General features: G+C 37.6%; 1 protein-coding gene across 2 annotated transcripts in view, besides 1 other annotated feature; it reads left to right on the top strand.

The window, feature by feature from the left end:
- Positions 1 to 17,841, top strand: part of PDGFD (platelet derived growth factor D) — a 256,959-nt gene that overhangs the window by 171,797 nt on the left and 67,321 nt on the right. The gene's annotated exons all lie outside the window — the stretch shown is intronic.
- Positions 8,001 to 8,194: a silencer, noted in NCBI's record as "fragment chr11:103854885-103855078 (GRCh37/hg19 assembly coordinates)". NCBI's record gives its function as "represses an EF-1alpha promoter that drives an FKBP-Casp9 reporter gene in an ReSE screen in phorbol 12-myristate 13-acetate-treated (for megakaryocytic differentiation) K562 erythroleukemia cells {active_cell/tissue: K562(+PMA)}" and the evidence as "EXISTENCE:reporter gene assay evidence [ECO:0000049][PMID:32094911]".

Genomic DNA, 17,841 nt, shown 5'->3' with positions numbered 1-17,841 from the left:
CAGATACACGCTTATCTGCTTGTTGAAGTTGGGATGTGTATCTCATTCCTATGCATAATTCTATACAGTGCCTTATACATGGCTAGACCGTGTGTTTGTTGAAATGACCCTTTCTTGGGAAAATATGATTCATAAAATTTGCCTCATTTCATTTTATTGCTCTCCTGTTCAGCCTTCTTTTCTGATTCTACCCCATTAAAGATAACAGATACCTTCAGAAAGCATAATTAAGCAGAATGGATAATGTTGTCAAATATTTGGTAGCGAGATATGATTATCTAAATAAATTAGGATCTCCTGCCACAAATCTACTTTGCTGGAGAACAAATGAATGGTTGGATGGTTAGGAATCTTTCTGAGAAGACTACTGAGTAGATTATTGGAAAGGTATTCAATTACAAGGCTCCCCCCGGTAGATGGTGTACAGAGAACTGAACAAACAAGGGTATGAATTTCAGCTCTGCTGCATACTGACTAATGGCTCAGTTTCATCGTCTGTAAAATGGTGATAATACTGCATGACATTAGGTTGTTTTGAGGATTAAATTAGATAACTTTTATAAACCACTTTGCCTGGAACTTATTAATTACTCAACTGTCTGAGGCTATTATTGTTATTATTATCACTGGCCATATTATTAATATATCAGGTAACAGACAATCCTGTATAAATAGCCCACTTGCGTGTGTGTCTGTGTTAATGTGAGGTACATTTTTTAAAATTCAAAAATAAAAAGTCAAGTCATTTGAAAGCTTGGAAAGCTACTCAAAAACTTTCTTCTTTTATTAATAAAATCTACTTTATTTTATACATTGAAATTTGCTAATACCCATTATAACACTTTCTAAAATAAAAAACCTATTTTGTCATATCAGTTGCTTAGCTGTGTATATCTCTGTAGTTAATTAAAGTGATGCCGTTATTTCCATTGGGAATAAAACTCAAATGAAGAATGGTTTTACATAAAAATGATTATTTAAAATAGAAAAAGAAGAAAAGGAAGAAGATGGAGAAGGGAGGAGGAGAAGGAAGAGAGGAGGAGAACAGCCCAGGGGTTGAAAAAGATAAGATTATCAATTATAATAACTTTTGCAGACTCTAATTATGCTCACCTAAAATTTACCAGTTGGTAAAACAAAAGCAATATTATCAACAGCAAAATAAAGGTGAGCATCATCCTCCTAAGCTGAATTTTTTTTTTTTTCTTTTTTGAGTTGGAGTCTCTTTCTGTCGCCTAGGCTGGAGTGCAGTGGTGCAATCTCGGCTCACTGCAAGCTCCGTCTCCTGGGTTCCTGCCATTCTCCTGCCTCAGCCTCCTGAGTAGCTGGGACTACAGGCACCCGCCACCATGCTCGGCTAATTTTTTGTATTTTTAGTAGAGACGGGGTTTCACCATGTTAGCCAGGATGGTCTCGACCTCCTGACCTCTTGATCCGCCCGCCTCAGCCTCCCAAAGTGCTAGGATTACAGGTGTGAACCACCGCGCCTGGCCCTAAGCTGAATTCTTAAACAAAGCTAGAGAGTAAAGGACCATTGACCTTCGGAATTGACTATTCGGAACACCCATGGTATTTTAGGCACTTCAGCCAGGACTATATATATATAGCCAAGGACTGTCAGAGTGAGGACAGTAATCCCTACAGCAGATTCTGTTTACCTCAGTTTCTTTCCCTCAAATATATCCCACTGGAGATTTCAGAGCTGCAAGAGCTGCAATATAGTTTCATAAATGCCTACTGTAAGCCAGACAAGGCATGTCCAGTGCCCTGGAGATACAGCAGTGAGGAAGACAGGCAGAACCTCTGCTGTCAGGAATACTCATAGCAGTGGGAGGAAATAGATCATAAGCATGTAAGCAGCGAAGTACATGCATACATAGAAACATTCAAACCTCAATAAAGGCAGATAAAAGAAAATAGTGTGTTGGAGAGTGACTAGTATGGAGCCCATTCCAGCTAGGGAGTCAAGGATGATCTGTGGATGTAAAATTTCAATGGAGACCTGAAATATTAGGAAGCAATGACGCAAAGCTATGGAAGAAGAGTGCACTAAGCAAAAGGAGAGCAATTGCTAAGACCCTAAAATAGAAAAGAGAAGGCACCTTTCCCTTGGAGTGATGATTTTCTTGGTGCCTTAGCATTCAGGCTGCTGAAAGGAAGCAAAGACAAGAGAGGGAAGCAACCCAGTAGGTCACTCCTCTCTCAGTCAAAGATGAGGAAGGTTTCTTATCTTTATCTCAGACCATCCTACTGAGGATATCTCTCAAGTCTTTCAGCACTTAGATGGGATAAGGTAGCTAAAACCAGAGGGTTAGCTAAGGTGAGATGCTACAAAAGTATCAATAAGACACTAAACAAAGATAATCCAAAGGGTTAGATACTATTATTTATCTTTTTATTATTATTATTCTATAGTATATTAATCATTATTATCATCATCAGAACTGTCCTACCAAATTATAATTTCTATGGGGAAGGAAACTTGTATGTTTTATCATAGTGCATGGCACATAAAAGGTGCTCAATAAAAAGTCTGTTCAAAAATGCATTGAAACACATGCATGACTAGAAAGAGCCAAACAATATTATAATGGGACTTCATTTCACCTCACTTTCTGTGTCCTCCCATTCCTTCTTGCCTACCTGTTCCTCTTCTGCTTCCCAACCCTGAAGAGCCCAATTTTCCCTTTATTCCCCTCACCCATTACCATTTGCTTATGGACCCAGCCATATCCTTTGTCAAATTTTCCTTTGCTTCAGGATTATATTAAATTTCATTCTTCACTGTCCCATGAACTCTATTAAAGTTTTCATTATGTACTGCAATTAGGATCTGTCTGTCTGGACACAAAGCAAGCCAGGGATGTGGTCAGGAGGATAGCAGAGCAAGAGGGACAAATGTATGTACCAGAACCCCTGGGTGAATGCTGCTGTCCTGGGCTGGAAAGCCTAGGCCGCAGAGAAAATGAAGGCACTTCCATGGATACTGGTTGAAGCACACATTCTTTAAGAACAGATTCTTGCTGTTGCAGGATATTATAGGCAGGGTTATATAGGTGTTCTTATTCACTATTTCACAAATATTCTAAAATTTCACCAATTACAGAGATCATTTTGATGAACTAGTGTTCTCTTTGGGAAGGTTATGTTAATCAAATTGTATTCCTAAAACCTAAATACAGTACATATGAGAACTTTGATAGAGTTCATAGGACAGGGAAGAATATGATAAAACAGACAAGGTTCCTGCCCTTATAGAAATTATAATTTGGTGGGACAGTCCTGATGATGATAATAATATGTTAAATATACTAAAATAATAATAATAAGATGAATAATAGTATCTAACCTTTTTTGATTACTTTGAGGATTTCACATATGAGGCATTGTATGTGAAGTATTTAATACAATGCCTGACATGTCGTAAATATTCCGTTACTACTAAGTCTTGCATGAATGCATCTCCATGAAGCATGGATTAGGGAAAATATAGAATTTAAAGCTGCATTATCTTAGAGATCTAATGCTTATGCTAATCCTGTTATTTTACAAGTGATTCAATAAACACAGGTTAGGTAACTTTACAAATGAGTCAGTGAAAACACAGAGGTTAGGAGCATGCCTGTGGTCACAGAGCTCATACATATGTGCTGCTATCCCTGAGATATGAAAGCTGTGGACCCACTCCACAGAAAAGTAAATATATCCGAAGTTGTGCGTAAAGTTGCAGGGAGGCCCCTGAATCTCATCCATAACATCCTCTGTATCCACGGGCGCGGTTAAGTACCCCACACTTGCTGCCTTTGTGTGTTATCTGACTTTGAGAATGTTTTGCATGTTGACTAGTCCTGACACAAGCAGTGTTTGAAATAATACTTTACTGCTGTAATTTTCTTCATAAACCCTGGTTGCTGATCATATGAGCAGATGACTCCCCGATGTGCTGAGTAAACACATTTCCAGCTTGAGAGGGATGCTGTGTAATGACACTTGGAAAGTTCAGTATCCTGTTTATCTAGTATCTAATTATATGGGCATGCAACAAGTAAACTTTTATCCTTGAAAACCAGAAAAAATGTAGTGATTTTTAGATAAATGTGCCTCTTTATATGCATATAACCTTTCCTGTATATCTGTGGTCTTTGGTGTACTAATATTTTGATAGATTAAGAAAATGAGGAAAACGAAGTAGGAAAAAGCTATTCAAGCTATTTTAGAAAATGGCTTGCATATTTAAGATATGTCAAAAACAAAGCAGTGTTACTTAGTGATGAAGTGAAACCTTGGTATTAAAAAAATGTCTCCACCTATCGTTCACTTATAAATTCAACAAATATGTCTGAAGACTTACTGTGGATAATAAGAAAATGATAGTCCTGAGGGAGAGAAAGGTACACAATTATAAGGCAGGGAGAATTGCAGTGATAAAATGTGCATGGAGTATTTGGGGCACACAAGAAAGACAGGCATTTAACCTCACAAAGGAGCGAATTGCTGGGCTGTGTCAGGGAGGCAACAGCATCCCGGGAAGAGGGCGTTGCCTGCATAAAGGCCTGAAAAAGCAGGCATTTCAGAGTATCCTGATGAGTTAATTCAGAGTGTTGCAGGTTAATGGTGCTAATCACTTACTAGCCTTTCTTTATTTTAGCTACTAGGCAAAAGATACAAGAAGCCAAAAGGACTCAAAAGTAGCAGTTTCATTAATGTGAGTCCAAGAAATACTAAAGCTTAAGTCTTTCTAGTAAAACTAGAATGGAGAACTTGGGTGGAATGAAAAGCCACAGGGTAAGTGTACAACAACTATGATGCAAATTCAGACTCAAGGATGCTTGGGAGGGCTCAAGGTTGATAAACAAACATGGGTACACTTACACAGTCTTCCTACTGCATGGAAGATCACAAGTCTGGTTACAAATGGTCATAAACAGTCACAATTAGGTGGGATAGCCAGCAAGGAGGTACATTGTGCTTAGCAGGTGGACTCAGGAAGAAGAGGAGAGCCTAGACCTTTCCCGGTGATTGATCCTAGAAGCAGCAACCCAAAAGAGAAATGGGGTGGGAAAGGAAGGAGGATGGAAGAAGTTTTAACCAGCTGACGGGTTCACCTTACCCGCTGCTTTGACAGAGCCAATTTATTAAGACAGGGGAATTGTAATAGAGAAAGAGCTTAATTCACACAGAGCCAGCTGTATGGAAGACCAGAGATTTATTATTACTCAAATCAGTCTCTGCAAAAACTCAAGGATTGGAGTTTTTAAGGATAATTTGTTTGGGGTGGGGGGGGGTTGGAAAGTGGGGAGTGCTGATTGGTCAGGATGGAGATGAAATTATAGGGAGTTGAAGCTCTCCTCTTGTGCTCAGTCAGTTCCTGGTTGCGGACCACGAGGCCAGATGAACCAGTTTATTGATCTGAGTGGTGCCAGCTGATCCATCCAGTGCAGGTTCTGCAAAATATCTTAAGCACTGATCTTAGATTTTAGAATAGTGATGTTATCCCGAGGAGCAATTTGGGAGGTTGAGAATCTTGCAGCCTCCAGCTGCATGACTCCTAAACCATAATTTCTAATCTTGTGGCTAATTTCTTAGTCCTGTAAAGACAGTTTAGTCCCCAGTCAGGAAGGGGGTTTGTTTTGAGAAAGAGCTGTTACCGTCTTTGTTTCCTAGTTAAACTAAAAACTAAGCTCCTCCCAAAGTTAGTTTGGCCTACACTCAGGAATGAATCAGGACAGCTTGGAGGTTAAAAGCAAGATGGAGTCGGTTAGGTCAGATCTCTTTCACCATCATAATTTTCTCAGTTATAATCTTTGCAAAGGCGCTTTCCAAGTGATGAAAGGAAAAATACTTGTTGATGTCTCCATATCTGTGGGCTGGGGCAGTAATATGGAAAGAAGAGTTCCCCCCTACAAAAGAGCAAGGGGCTGTGTGCCCATAAAGGGTGGGAGCCCACAGTGAGTTTTATGTTTTAAGTTTTTCAATCAGGTATCTTTGGTAACGGTCCTTTGGAACTCTGTTCTACTCTTGTACTCACTCTGGCTCTAAGGAGACCTAGCTGACCTGCTCTATTTGCTGTAAGATTCAGCCATTCTAACTGGGAAGTTAAAGATCCCATGAACTTCAGAGACCCGTCTCCTCTCCTAGGTGAATGAAGGAATTAGAAATCAATCAAAGAGACAGGACTCATCCAGCCTTGAAAACAACTGTCCTAAATGTTCCCTTTATCAGTGGAAATGTGACAGATTAAGGCTAACCTCCACTCAAGATTGTGCCTTTCACCTGAGAGCAAATTGAGCTACGGATTCAAAGTGAATCTTTTCTTATTTTGCAATTGAAAATTGGAGCCAGACAGGCAAAACATTAAAAAGAAAAATTGAAAAGTCATGGAGCCACCTCTGTGAAAGAGAGATACATGAATAAATAATCAAGTAATCATTGCTTCTTGGCTGGGCCCGGCTAATCACTTCCTGATTGGTCTCCCTCCCTCCTGTCTCCCCCATCTCCAATCTGTGCTGCACCTGGCTACCTGCTAATGTAGAGCTGTGATCATATTTTCCAGTTGAAAAATTGTGACTGACCCCCAGTTTTCTACGGAAATATGTCCAGATACTTCACTCTGATACTGAGAGTCTTCCATGTTCTGACCACAGCCTAACATTCTAGTTTCAATTCTCCCTTTTCCTTACACATATTCTTTAGTCCAGACAAACAGAACTATTCCCTGATAACCTAGTCACCTCAGGATTCCTCATCTCTCATTCCTGGCTGTTACATTTCTCATGTATATTTCCTTAAGAATTCAAGCCCTCTTCTCCCTGTCAAAGTCATATTCGTGTCAAAAATATCACTAGCCCTTGGGCAGGCACAGTAGCTCACACCTGTAATCCCAGCACTTTGGGAGGCTGATGCAGGAGGATTACTTGAGGCCAGGAGTTCAAGACCAACTAGTCATATATAGTGAGACCCCCATCTCTTCAAAAAACTTGACAATAATTTAGGCATGGTGGTGCACGCCTGTAGTCCCAGCTACTTGGGCAGCTGAGGTAAGAGGATCACTTGAGCCCAAGTTTGAGGTTACAATGAGCTATGATTTCACCACTGGACTGCAGCCTTGGTGATAAGGCAAGACCTTGTCTCAAAAAATATGTGTGTGTATTAATATATATTATATATTAAATAAATTAATATATTATATATTAAATAAATTAATATATTATATATTAAATAAATTAATATATTATATATTAAATAAATTAATATATAATATATTAAATAAATATAACTATTAAATAAATTAATATATATTAAACAAATATAACTATATCAAATAAATTAATATATATTACATAAATATAACATATTAAATTAATATGTTATATATTAAATAAATATAACTATATTAAATAAATTAATATGTTATATATTAAATAAATATAAATATATTAAATAAATTAATATATTATATAGTAAATAAATATAACTATATTAGATAAATTAATGTATTATATATTAAATAAATTAATATATTATATATTAAATAAATATAAATATATTAAATATAATTATTTAATATATTTAACTAGTTTTTAGCACCTCAGCCACATGAACTTCCTCTCCATCAAGTACTCAAGTTACTGTTTTTTTAAATCAACATTATGGCTATTCAAGGAATAAAGTACATCTATACAACATGTATTTGATTTATGTAGAAATGTAAACAAAAAGTAAACACCCATAGGTCCCATCACTTAAACACAACTACTATGAATATTTTGGCACATTTCTTTTTTTTAACTTTTATGTTCAGGGGCACATGTGCAGGTTTGTTACATAGGCAAAATTGTGTCATGGGGGTTTGTTGTACAGATTATTTAATCACCCAGGTATTAAGCCTAGTACCCATTAGTTATTTTTCCTTATCCTCTCCCTTCTCCACCACTCCACCCTTTGAAAGGCCCCAGTGTGTCTTGTTCCCCTGTATGTGTCCATGTATTCTCATCATTTAGTTCCCACTTTCAAGTGAGAACATGCTGTATTTGGTTTTCTGATCCTGCATTAGTTTGCTGAGGATAATGGCCTCCAGGTCCATCCATGTCCCTGCAAAGGATGTGGTGTCATTCTTTTTTATGGCTGCATTGTATTCCATAGTGTATATATACCACATTTTGTTTATCCAATCTAACATTGATGACCATATGTCTTGATTCCGTGTATTTGCTATTGTAAATAGTGCTGCAATGAACATATGCATGCATATGTCTTTATAATAGAATGATTTATATTCCTTTGGGTATATACCCAATAATGGATTGCTGAGTTGAGTGGGATTAATATTTCTGTCTTTAGGCCATTGAGGAGTCACCACACTGTCTTCTGCCATGGCTGAACTGATTTACACTTCCACCGACAGTGTATAAGCATTCGTTTTTCTCCACGACCTTGCCAGCATCTGTTATTTTTTTACTTTTTACTAATAACCATTCTGACTGGTGTAAGATGGTATCTCATTGTGGCTTTAATTTGCATCTCTCTAATGATCGGTTTTTTCATGTGATTGTCGGCCACATGTATGTCTTCTTTTGAAAAGTGTCTGTTCACGTCCTTTGCCCACTTTTTTATGGGGTTATTTTTTTCTTGTAAATTTATCTAAGTTCCTTATAGAGTCTGGATATTAGACTTTTGTCAGATGCATAGTTTGCAAAAATTTTCTCCCATTCTGTAGGTTGTCTGTTTACTCTGCTGATAGTTTCTTTTGCTGTGCAGAAGCTCTTTAGTTTTATTAAATCCCATTTGCCAATGTTTGCATTTGTTGCAGTTGTTTTTGGCATATTTATCATGAAATCTTTGCCCATGCCCATGTCCTGAATGGTATTGCCTAAGTTGTCTTCAGGATTTTTTTAGTTTTAAGTTTTATATTTTAGTCATTAATCCATCGTGAGTTAATTTTTGTATATGGTGTAAGAAAGAGGTCCAGTTTCAATCTTCTGCATATGGCTAGCCAGTTCTCACAGCACCATTTACTGAATAGAGAATCCTTTCCCCATTGCCTATTTTTGTCAGGTTTGTCAAAGATCAGATAGTTGTAGGTGAGTGGTCTTATTTTGTGGTTCTCTATTCTATTCCATTGGTCTAGGTATCTGTTTTTGTACCAGTGCCACACTGTTTTGGTTACTGTAACCCTGTAAGTATAGTTTGAAGTCAGGTTGTGTGATGCCTCCAGCTTTGTCATTTTTGCTTAGGATTGTCTTGGCTGTTTGGGGTCTTTTTTGATTCCACGTGAATTTTAAAATAGTTTTTTTCTAATTCTGTGAAGAATGTCAGTGGTAATTTAATGGGAATAGCATTGAATCTATAAATTTCTTTGGGCAGTATGGCCATTTTCATGATACTGCTTCTCTCTATCCATGAGCATGGAATGTTTTTCCATTTGTTTGTGTCATCTCTAATTTCTTTGAGCAGAGTTTGTAGTTCTCCTTGTAGGGATCTTTCACCTTCCCACTTAGTTGTATTGCTAAGTATGTTTTATTCTTTTTGTGGCAATTGTGAATGGGAATTTGTTCCTGATTTGGCTCTCAGCTTGCCTGTTGTTGGTGTCTAAGAATGCTAGTGATTTTTGCACATTGATTTTGTGTCTTGAGACTTTCTTGAAGGTGTTTATCAATGTAAAAAGCTTTTGGGCTGAGATGATGGGGTTTTCTAGATATAGGATCATGTTATCTGCAAACAGGGATAATCTGACTTTCTCTCTTCCTATTCGGATGCCCTTTATTTCTTTCTCTTTCCTGATTGCCCTGGCCAGAATTTCAATACTATATTGAATCGGAGTGATGAGAGAGGGCATCCTTGTCTTGTGCTGCTTTTCAAAGTACATTTCTTTCCAGTCTTTTTAATCCATAAAAACCCACATACATGCCTCACTATCTCTACTAGAGCAAAAGCTCCTTGTAGGTAGGGAGTGGCTCACACCTGCAGCGTCTATTACTGTGCATTGCGCTCAGCAGGCCTCAAAATATTTAACTGGGCTGAACCAACAAGCATTCATTGAATACCTAAGATGTGTCTGATATTTTGGAGTAAAAGCAAAAAAATCTATCCCCAATGACATATTAAGTGACAGTATATAAAGAGACCATCATTTATGTCTATAGTAATCTGAAAGACTTGCTGTCTCCTACTCCGATGTTGCAATCATACCAGCATACCAAGGGCCCTTAGCTGCTTTGTTCCAGGGCCTACTGGGCATTGGAGGAATGGGGGTGAGGATTGGGTTCAGAGTAGGATCAAGGTTGGAGGGGAATTGTAAGGGTCAAATGTTAGGGAAACTGTGGAATAGAAATGAAGCATATAACCAGGTATTCTGATTCTGAAGTCAGTCTCTGCAACATTTTAAACTCTAAGAGGCATATAGTTGCACCAATACTAGCCTGACCTTACATGAGACTGTGTAACTGTAACACCATAGCAGGCAAGATTTGGGTCTTCTGTTGATGAGACTGCTGAGCTGGCCTTCCTCATGGACAGCAGCAGCAGCCTTAAAAGACTTAGGGCTTCTTAATAATTGTCACAGGTCTCTGGAATCCAGATAGTCTCATTCTAGCAGATATTAACTAAGGCCTCAAGAGCTTTCCAGGTTTTCAAACACTCCAAAACCATTCATTTGATTTTTTTGTTTTTTAGCTTTTATGTAAAGAGTACAGGATATATGAATCAGAAACACTCAAATTCAAATCTGTGTATTATCTATGAGATCTAGAGTGTCAATTAAACTGTCTAAGCTGCTGTTTCATCATTTGTAAAATGGGAAGGATTCATCTGCATTATAAAGCTGCTTGAAGATTATCTTTAAAATATACGGGTTTGGTACACAGTCTGTGTACAACAGATACAGCTGTTATTATTACTATTACCATTAAATGTCTTCGGAGGGTGTCTTAGTCCCTTTTCTATTGCTATAAATGAGTACTTGAGACTGGGTAATTTTTTTAAAAAAGAAATTTATTTCTTACAGTTTTGGAGGCCAGGAAACTCCAAGGTCTAGGGGCAGTATATGGTGAGGGTCTTCTAGGCCTTCTTGCTGGTATGGATTCTCTGCAGAGTCCCAAGATGGCATAGAGCATTACACGGTAAGGGAGTTTGCAAGAAAGAGCCAACCTGACTTTTTGTAACAGGCACACTTCTATGATAACTAACCCACTCCCATGCTAACCCATTAATCCATTAACCCATTAATCCATTAACCAGTAAATGAATTAATCACTTATAGGCCCCACCTCTCAATATTGTTACATTGGGGATTACGTTCCAACATGAGTTTTGGAGAGGACAGTCATTCGAAACATAGCAGAGGGTTAGAATCAAAATAAGCATTTTCCTTAGTCAATTCAGGCTATTATAACAAAGTACCTTAGACTTCGTGGCTTATAGGCAACAGAAATTTATTTCTCATGGTACTGGAGGCTGAGAGTCTGAGATCAAGGTGCCAGCATGGTAGGGTTTTGGTGAGGGCTCTCTTGTGGGTTGTAGATTGCCAAATTCTTCTTGTAGCTTCACGTGACATATGATGGAAAGAGGATGAAAGCTCTCTGGGGTTGCTTTCATAAGGTTGCTAATCCCATTCCTACATCCTAAGGCCCTACCTCTACATACTGTGATATTGGGCATTTAAATTTCAAGGTATCAATTTTGGGGGGGACACAAATATTCAGTCCACAACAGTATTCAAGGTCCTTTAAGAGGCCTTGGCACAAGAAAAACACTAGAGAATCCCATAAAGTAAGAGAATACCTAGTGCAGTGAGATTCCACTTCCCAGTTCGACACCCACAACCCTGGCAGTGTTGGCAGGACAAGAAGCCAAAAACTGTAACTAGCTGTATTCAGCAATGACACATTAGATGTACCTTTCTTGGTCAGTCCCTTTTGAATTACTCATGAAAATAGCTGAAATATACCTTTGACATTAAAATTCCAACCTTAATAGTAAATTTGGACTTGAAGTTTCTTGATGTCACTACTACAGAAAGGCCTTCATTTCTCATAGAATTCTGCAAAACATAATGTATTCCTTTGGCTCAAACACAAGCCAAGTGTCTAAAATGCATAGCTATTCAAGGCCAGAAGCACTCCGTATGATTTTCTGGCATTTTCTTTTTTCCTGAAATGCTAAAAACAGATTTTTTAAAGAAAAAGACAATAAAACCCCTACTATTTTAATCTCTGTACTATCTCTGTAACAGATAAAAAAGAAATATGAATAACTAATACAAAATTATTTCATTTAGCCATAGGAGATAACCTAGATAGGGAAGTGGATTTTAATTAGTTAAAAAATATATAAATACGCATACAAAGTCTTAACTAAGAAAGCATTTATGAAGGAAAATCAGTGTTATAAAGGCAGAGCTCTAATTTAAGATTGCGGGCCAGTGCCTAATTTTGATTTGAAGTTACAATTAGTTAGAATAAACAATTGCAAATGATTCCATTTTCTTCTGAACCTTTTGTAAGAGCATCCCTTGTGTAACAAAAAAATGTATATATGCTATTTTCAATATAAAAATAGAATGGTTATTTCTCAGCCAGCTATAGGCAGAATGGCAAAGCAGATCTTATGTTTTGTGGCCTGTTTTCTCTTAGAATTATCTACAAACCTGACTCACCCCATCTCTGTGTTCCATCCTTACCAAATGCCCAAAAGTTATTTCCTCACAAATCACAACAACTAGCAAATCTTTCTTGTAGACCAGGCTGAAAGCTAATTTTCTAATGAATTATGTAACTCATTCTTTCTACAAACATTTCTTTGCCTCTCAATCGCCATGGCAGGTCCCAACGAAAGACCTAGGGATACAAATAAAATGTGAAACCTCCCTGCCAGATAGTTGCCTGAGTCAATTGTGGTAAGATCAGTGATAGCTGAAATACAACTGAGGGTTTGTAGGATGGGAGAAGAGAGAAAATAAATTCTGTCCAAGGGAAAGAGAAGCTGATCTGGAAATGATTCACATAGGAAGAAAGCTGACCCAAGGAAGGAGTGGGGAATCATTAATCTAAGTAGAGGGAACAAAGTGAGTTACCGACTGGTAACAGTTTAAAGCCTTATCCTTCCCAAATTATTTGCTTTTAAAAGCAACAGAACCTAAAGCTAAAGGAAAGAAAGAAATTTGGCCAAAGACTTCAGGCTTTAGCTATAGAGTATAATTTAGACTGCAGAAAGAAAGTACCACAATTCCAGGAAAATGACCAATGGTTTGCATTAGAATTTTCTTTTAAACATACATGTCCAGAACTGATGCCTGACTCAGTGAATCAGTATCTCATGGGGAAAGCATCTGCAAAGCTCCATTTATAAAGCTCCTGAGCTGATTCTGATGTGCTGCCTTGTTAAGAATTATTTCTCTTAATATGAATCCTTAATGTATGAAGCAGAGCCCCAGGATTCATCCCCTTCTCTGACAATACCATCCCCAAGTTCACGTTTGCTACTCATTTTACCATTTTAATAGCATTGAGCTCACTGTACCTGTTTTACAGGATTTATGTTTTTTCACTAGACTGGAAACACTTCAAAGACAATGACGTCACTTAGTACAGGGGTACAAGACAGTTAGTATATCTTTCTAAAAGAATTAAATTTTCAGTTCAGCTATATTTTGCCAAATCTACAAACATTTCTAAAACACTTTGTATGTTACAAGCATGCCATAGGATTAAATGAGATCACATATGGGAAAGCACTTTCTAAAATGTAAGTGACTCACATGGTCTTGAGGTATTGTAACAAACTACTGGGAGCTTCTTAATTCCATTAAAAAAAACTCAGTAGGCTGGAGTGTTTCTCTCAATTCACACTTGCATATCAATATAAACATATTTAAGTCCCATAAAAAGAGACATCTTAATTAATTTGTTTTCATAATTCCATACTACCCTTCAAACAAACAGCATTCTAGCTTACATGTTTCGTTAGTTAATTTTCTGTGTGGGGACATTAGGAGAGAAAGAGTACCCAGGTGGCCATTTTGAAAGACAATGTTCATGTTTTGAAATGTTCATAAAAAAAGAAAACAGCCCTGCAACCTTAAGAACACCATCCCTATCGATTGTCCATTTTCTTCCCTCAGCAAACTGGGTTTCATTCTGAAGATATCATTGTTCCTATTATAAATTAAGAGAAAATCCCTTCAATTTTGCTATTGAAAAATGTTTGTTTACACAGAAAAGAAACCAACAACGACACTACTGGTGCCTGTTTTCCCAGCTGTTAGCAATGGAAATGATACTCTTTATGATGATGGAGCCGGATGATGAAGCTGCAGCAATCTCATATCCTAATCTCTCCTGTGCTGTGTGGTTGTGCAAGTTTGTTTTCTGAGCACTTATTACACAGTATATCAGCCTTCTTTAACCCTTTTCTAACAATTCTATAATCTCTACTTTACTGGTTCCTCACCACATTTCAGTTTGTATGACAACAACCTCATCTTATCATTTGGACTGCTGGCCTTAGCAACCATATTTCTAAAGAAAAAGCATCTCTGTACATATTAGATCCCATTACCCTCAAATACATAATAAGTGGCAAGTGTCCCCCATCCCCACTCCTTTTATGGGTGAAAAATGGTCATCCTAGACACACATGGTATGTTTTAATCAAAATATAATCAAAACAAAGAAACATATGCATTACTTCATCTATCTTTTTATACTAATATATTATCACTGTCAAGAGGGATTTCGAGTGGCTGATTCAACAAATAATTACGGGGACCTATTTTATGCTTGGTACTGGGGGGATTCAAGGAATCTAGCTCAGTTTTTAAAGAAGAGTTAAACCAATACTAAATGCATGAACAGTTGATCATGGTGGACAAGCTTTTTGACGTACTGCTGGATTTGGTTTGCCAGTATTTTATTGAGGATTTTTGCATCGATGTTCATCAGGGATATTGGCCTGAAATTTTCTTTTTTTATTGTGTCTCTGCCAGGTTTTGGTATCAGGATGATGCTGGTCTCATAAAATGAGTTAGGGAGGAGTCCCTCTTTTTCAATTGTTTGGGATAGTTTCAGAAGGAATGGTACCAGCTCCTCTTTGTACCTCTGGTAGAATTTTACTGTGAATCCATCTGGTCCTGGGCTTTTTCTTGGTTGGTAGGCTATTAATTACTGCCTCAATTTCAGAACTTGTTATTGGTCTATTCAGGGATTTGACTTCTTCCTGGTTTAGTCTCAGGAGGGTGTATGTCTAGAAATCTATCCATTTCTTCTAAATTTTTCTAGTTTATTTGCGTAGAGGTGTTTTTAGTGTTCTCTGATGGTAGTTTGTATTTCTGTGGGATCAGTGGTGATATCCCATTTATCATTTTCTATTCTGTTTATTTGATTCTTCTCTCTTTTCTTCTTTATTATTCTGACTAGTGGTCTATCTATTTTGTTAATCTTTTCAAAAATACAGCTCCTGGCTTCATCCCTGGGATGCAAGGCTGGTTCAACTTACTCAAATCAATAAACATAATCCATGACATAAACAGAACCAATGACAAAAAACCACATGATTTTCTCAATAGATGCCGAAAAGGCCTTTGATAAAATTCAGCCCATCATGCTAAAAACTCTCAATAAACTATCTTAATAGTTTATTGAGATAAACTATTCAGTAGAACGTATCTCAATAATAAGAGCTATTTATGAGAAACCCATAGCCAATATCGTACTGAACTGGCAAAAGCTGGAAGCATTCCATTTGAAAACTGGCACAAGACAAGGATGCCCTCTCTTACCACTCCTGTTCAACATACTATTGGAAGTTCTGGCCAGGGCAATCAGGCAAGAGAAAGAAATAAAGGGTATTCAGATAGGAAGAGAGAAAGTCAAATTGTCTCTGTTTGCAGATGACATGATTGTATATTTAGAAAACCCCATCGTCTCAGCCCAAAAACTCCTGAAGCTGATAAGCAACTTCAGCAAAGTCTCAGGATACAAAATCAATGTGCAAAAATCACAAACATTCCTATACACCAATAATAAACAAAGAGCCAAATCATGAGTGAACTCCCATTCACAATCGCTACAAAGAGAAAAAAATACCTAGGAATACAACTTACTATTGACAATAGCCACTATTGACAATAGCAACTTACAACGGATGTGAAGGACCTCTTCCAGGACAACTACAAACCACTGCTTAAGGAAATAAGAGAAGACACAAACAGATGGAAAAACATTCCATATTCATGGATAGGAAGAGTCAATATCATGAAAATGGCCATAATGCCCAAAGCAATTTATAACTTCAATGCTATTCCCATCAAGCTATCATTGACTTTCTTCACAGAACTAGAAAAAAACTACTTTAAATTTCATATGGAACCAAAAAAGAGCCCATATAGCCAAGACAATCCTAAGCAAAAAGAACAAAGCTGGAGGCATCATGCTACCTGGCTTCAAACTATACTACAAGGCTAGAGTAACCAAAACAGCATGATACTGGTATTAAAACAGATATATAGACCAACGGAACAGAACAGAGGCCCCAGAAAAAACACCACACCTCTACAACAATCTGATCTTCGACAAACCTGACAAAAACAAGCAATGGGGAAAGGATTCCCTATTTAATAAATGGTGCTGGGAAAAGTGGCTAGTCATATGCAGAAAAAAAGAAACTGGACCCCTTCCATATACCTTATACAAAATTAACTCAAGATGGGTTAAAGACTTAAACATAAACCTAAAACCTAAAACCTAAAACCTAGAAGAAAACCTAGGCAATACCATTCAGGACATGGGCATGGGCAAAGACTTCATGACTAAAACACCAAAAGCAATGGCAACAAAAGCCAAAATTGACAAATGGGATCTAATTAAACTAAAGAGCTTCTGCACAGCAAAAGAAACTATCATCAGAGTGAACAGGCAACCTACAGAATGGGAGAAAAATTTTGCAATTTATCCATCTAACAAAGGTCTAATGTCCAGAATCTACAAGGAACTTAAACAAATTTACAAGGAAAAAAACAAACAACCCCATCAAAAAGTGGGCAATGATATGAACAGACACTTCTCAAATGAAGACATTTATGTGGCCAACAAACATATGAAAAAAAGCTCATCATCATTGGTTATTAGAGAAATGCAAAGCAAAACCACAGTGACATACCACCTCATGCTAGTTAGAATGGTGATTGCTAAAAAGTCAGGAAACATGCTGGAGAGGATGTGGAGAAATAGGAATGCTTTTCCACTGTTGGTGGGAGTGTAAATTAGTTCAACCAATGTGGAAGACAGTGTGGCGATTCCTCAAGGGTCTAGAACCAGAAATGCCACTTGACCTAGGAATCCCATTACTGGGTATATACCCAAAGAATTATAAATCATTTTACTATAAAGACACATGCACATGTATGTGTATTTCAGCACTATGGACAATAGAAAAGACATGGAACCAACCCAAATGCCCATCAATGATAGACTGGATAAAGATAATGTGGCAAATATACACCATGGAGTACTATGCAGCCATAAAAATTAATGTGTTCATGTCTTTTGCAGCAACATGGATGAAGCTGGAAACCATCATTCTCAGCAAACTAACACAAGAACAGAAAACCAAACACCGCATGTTCTCACTCATAAGTGGGAGTTCTCATTCATAAGTTGGAGAACAGTGAGAACACATGGACATAGGGAGAGGAACATCACACACCAGGGCCTGTGAGGAGGTGGGGGGCAAGGGGAGGGAGAGCATTAGGACAAATACCTAATGCACGCGGGGCTTAAAACCTAGATGATGAGTTGATGGGTGCAACAAACCACCATGGCACGTGTATACCTATGAAACAAACCTGCA

The sequence above is a fragment of the Homo sapiens genome, chromosome 11, assembly GCF_000001405.40.
Source record: "Homo sapiens chromosome 11, GRCh38.p14 Primary Assembly".
In the NCBI taxonomy this organism is placed as follows: Eukaryota; Metazoa; Chordata; class Mammalia; order Primates; family Hominidae; genus Homo; species Homo sapiens.
The sequence above is the reverse complement of the archived record's forward strand: the minus strand, read 5'-3'. Positions and strand labels throughout refer to the sequence as shown.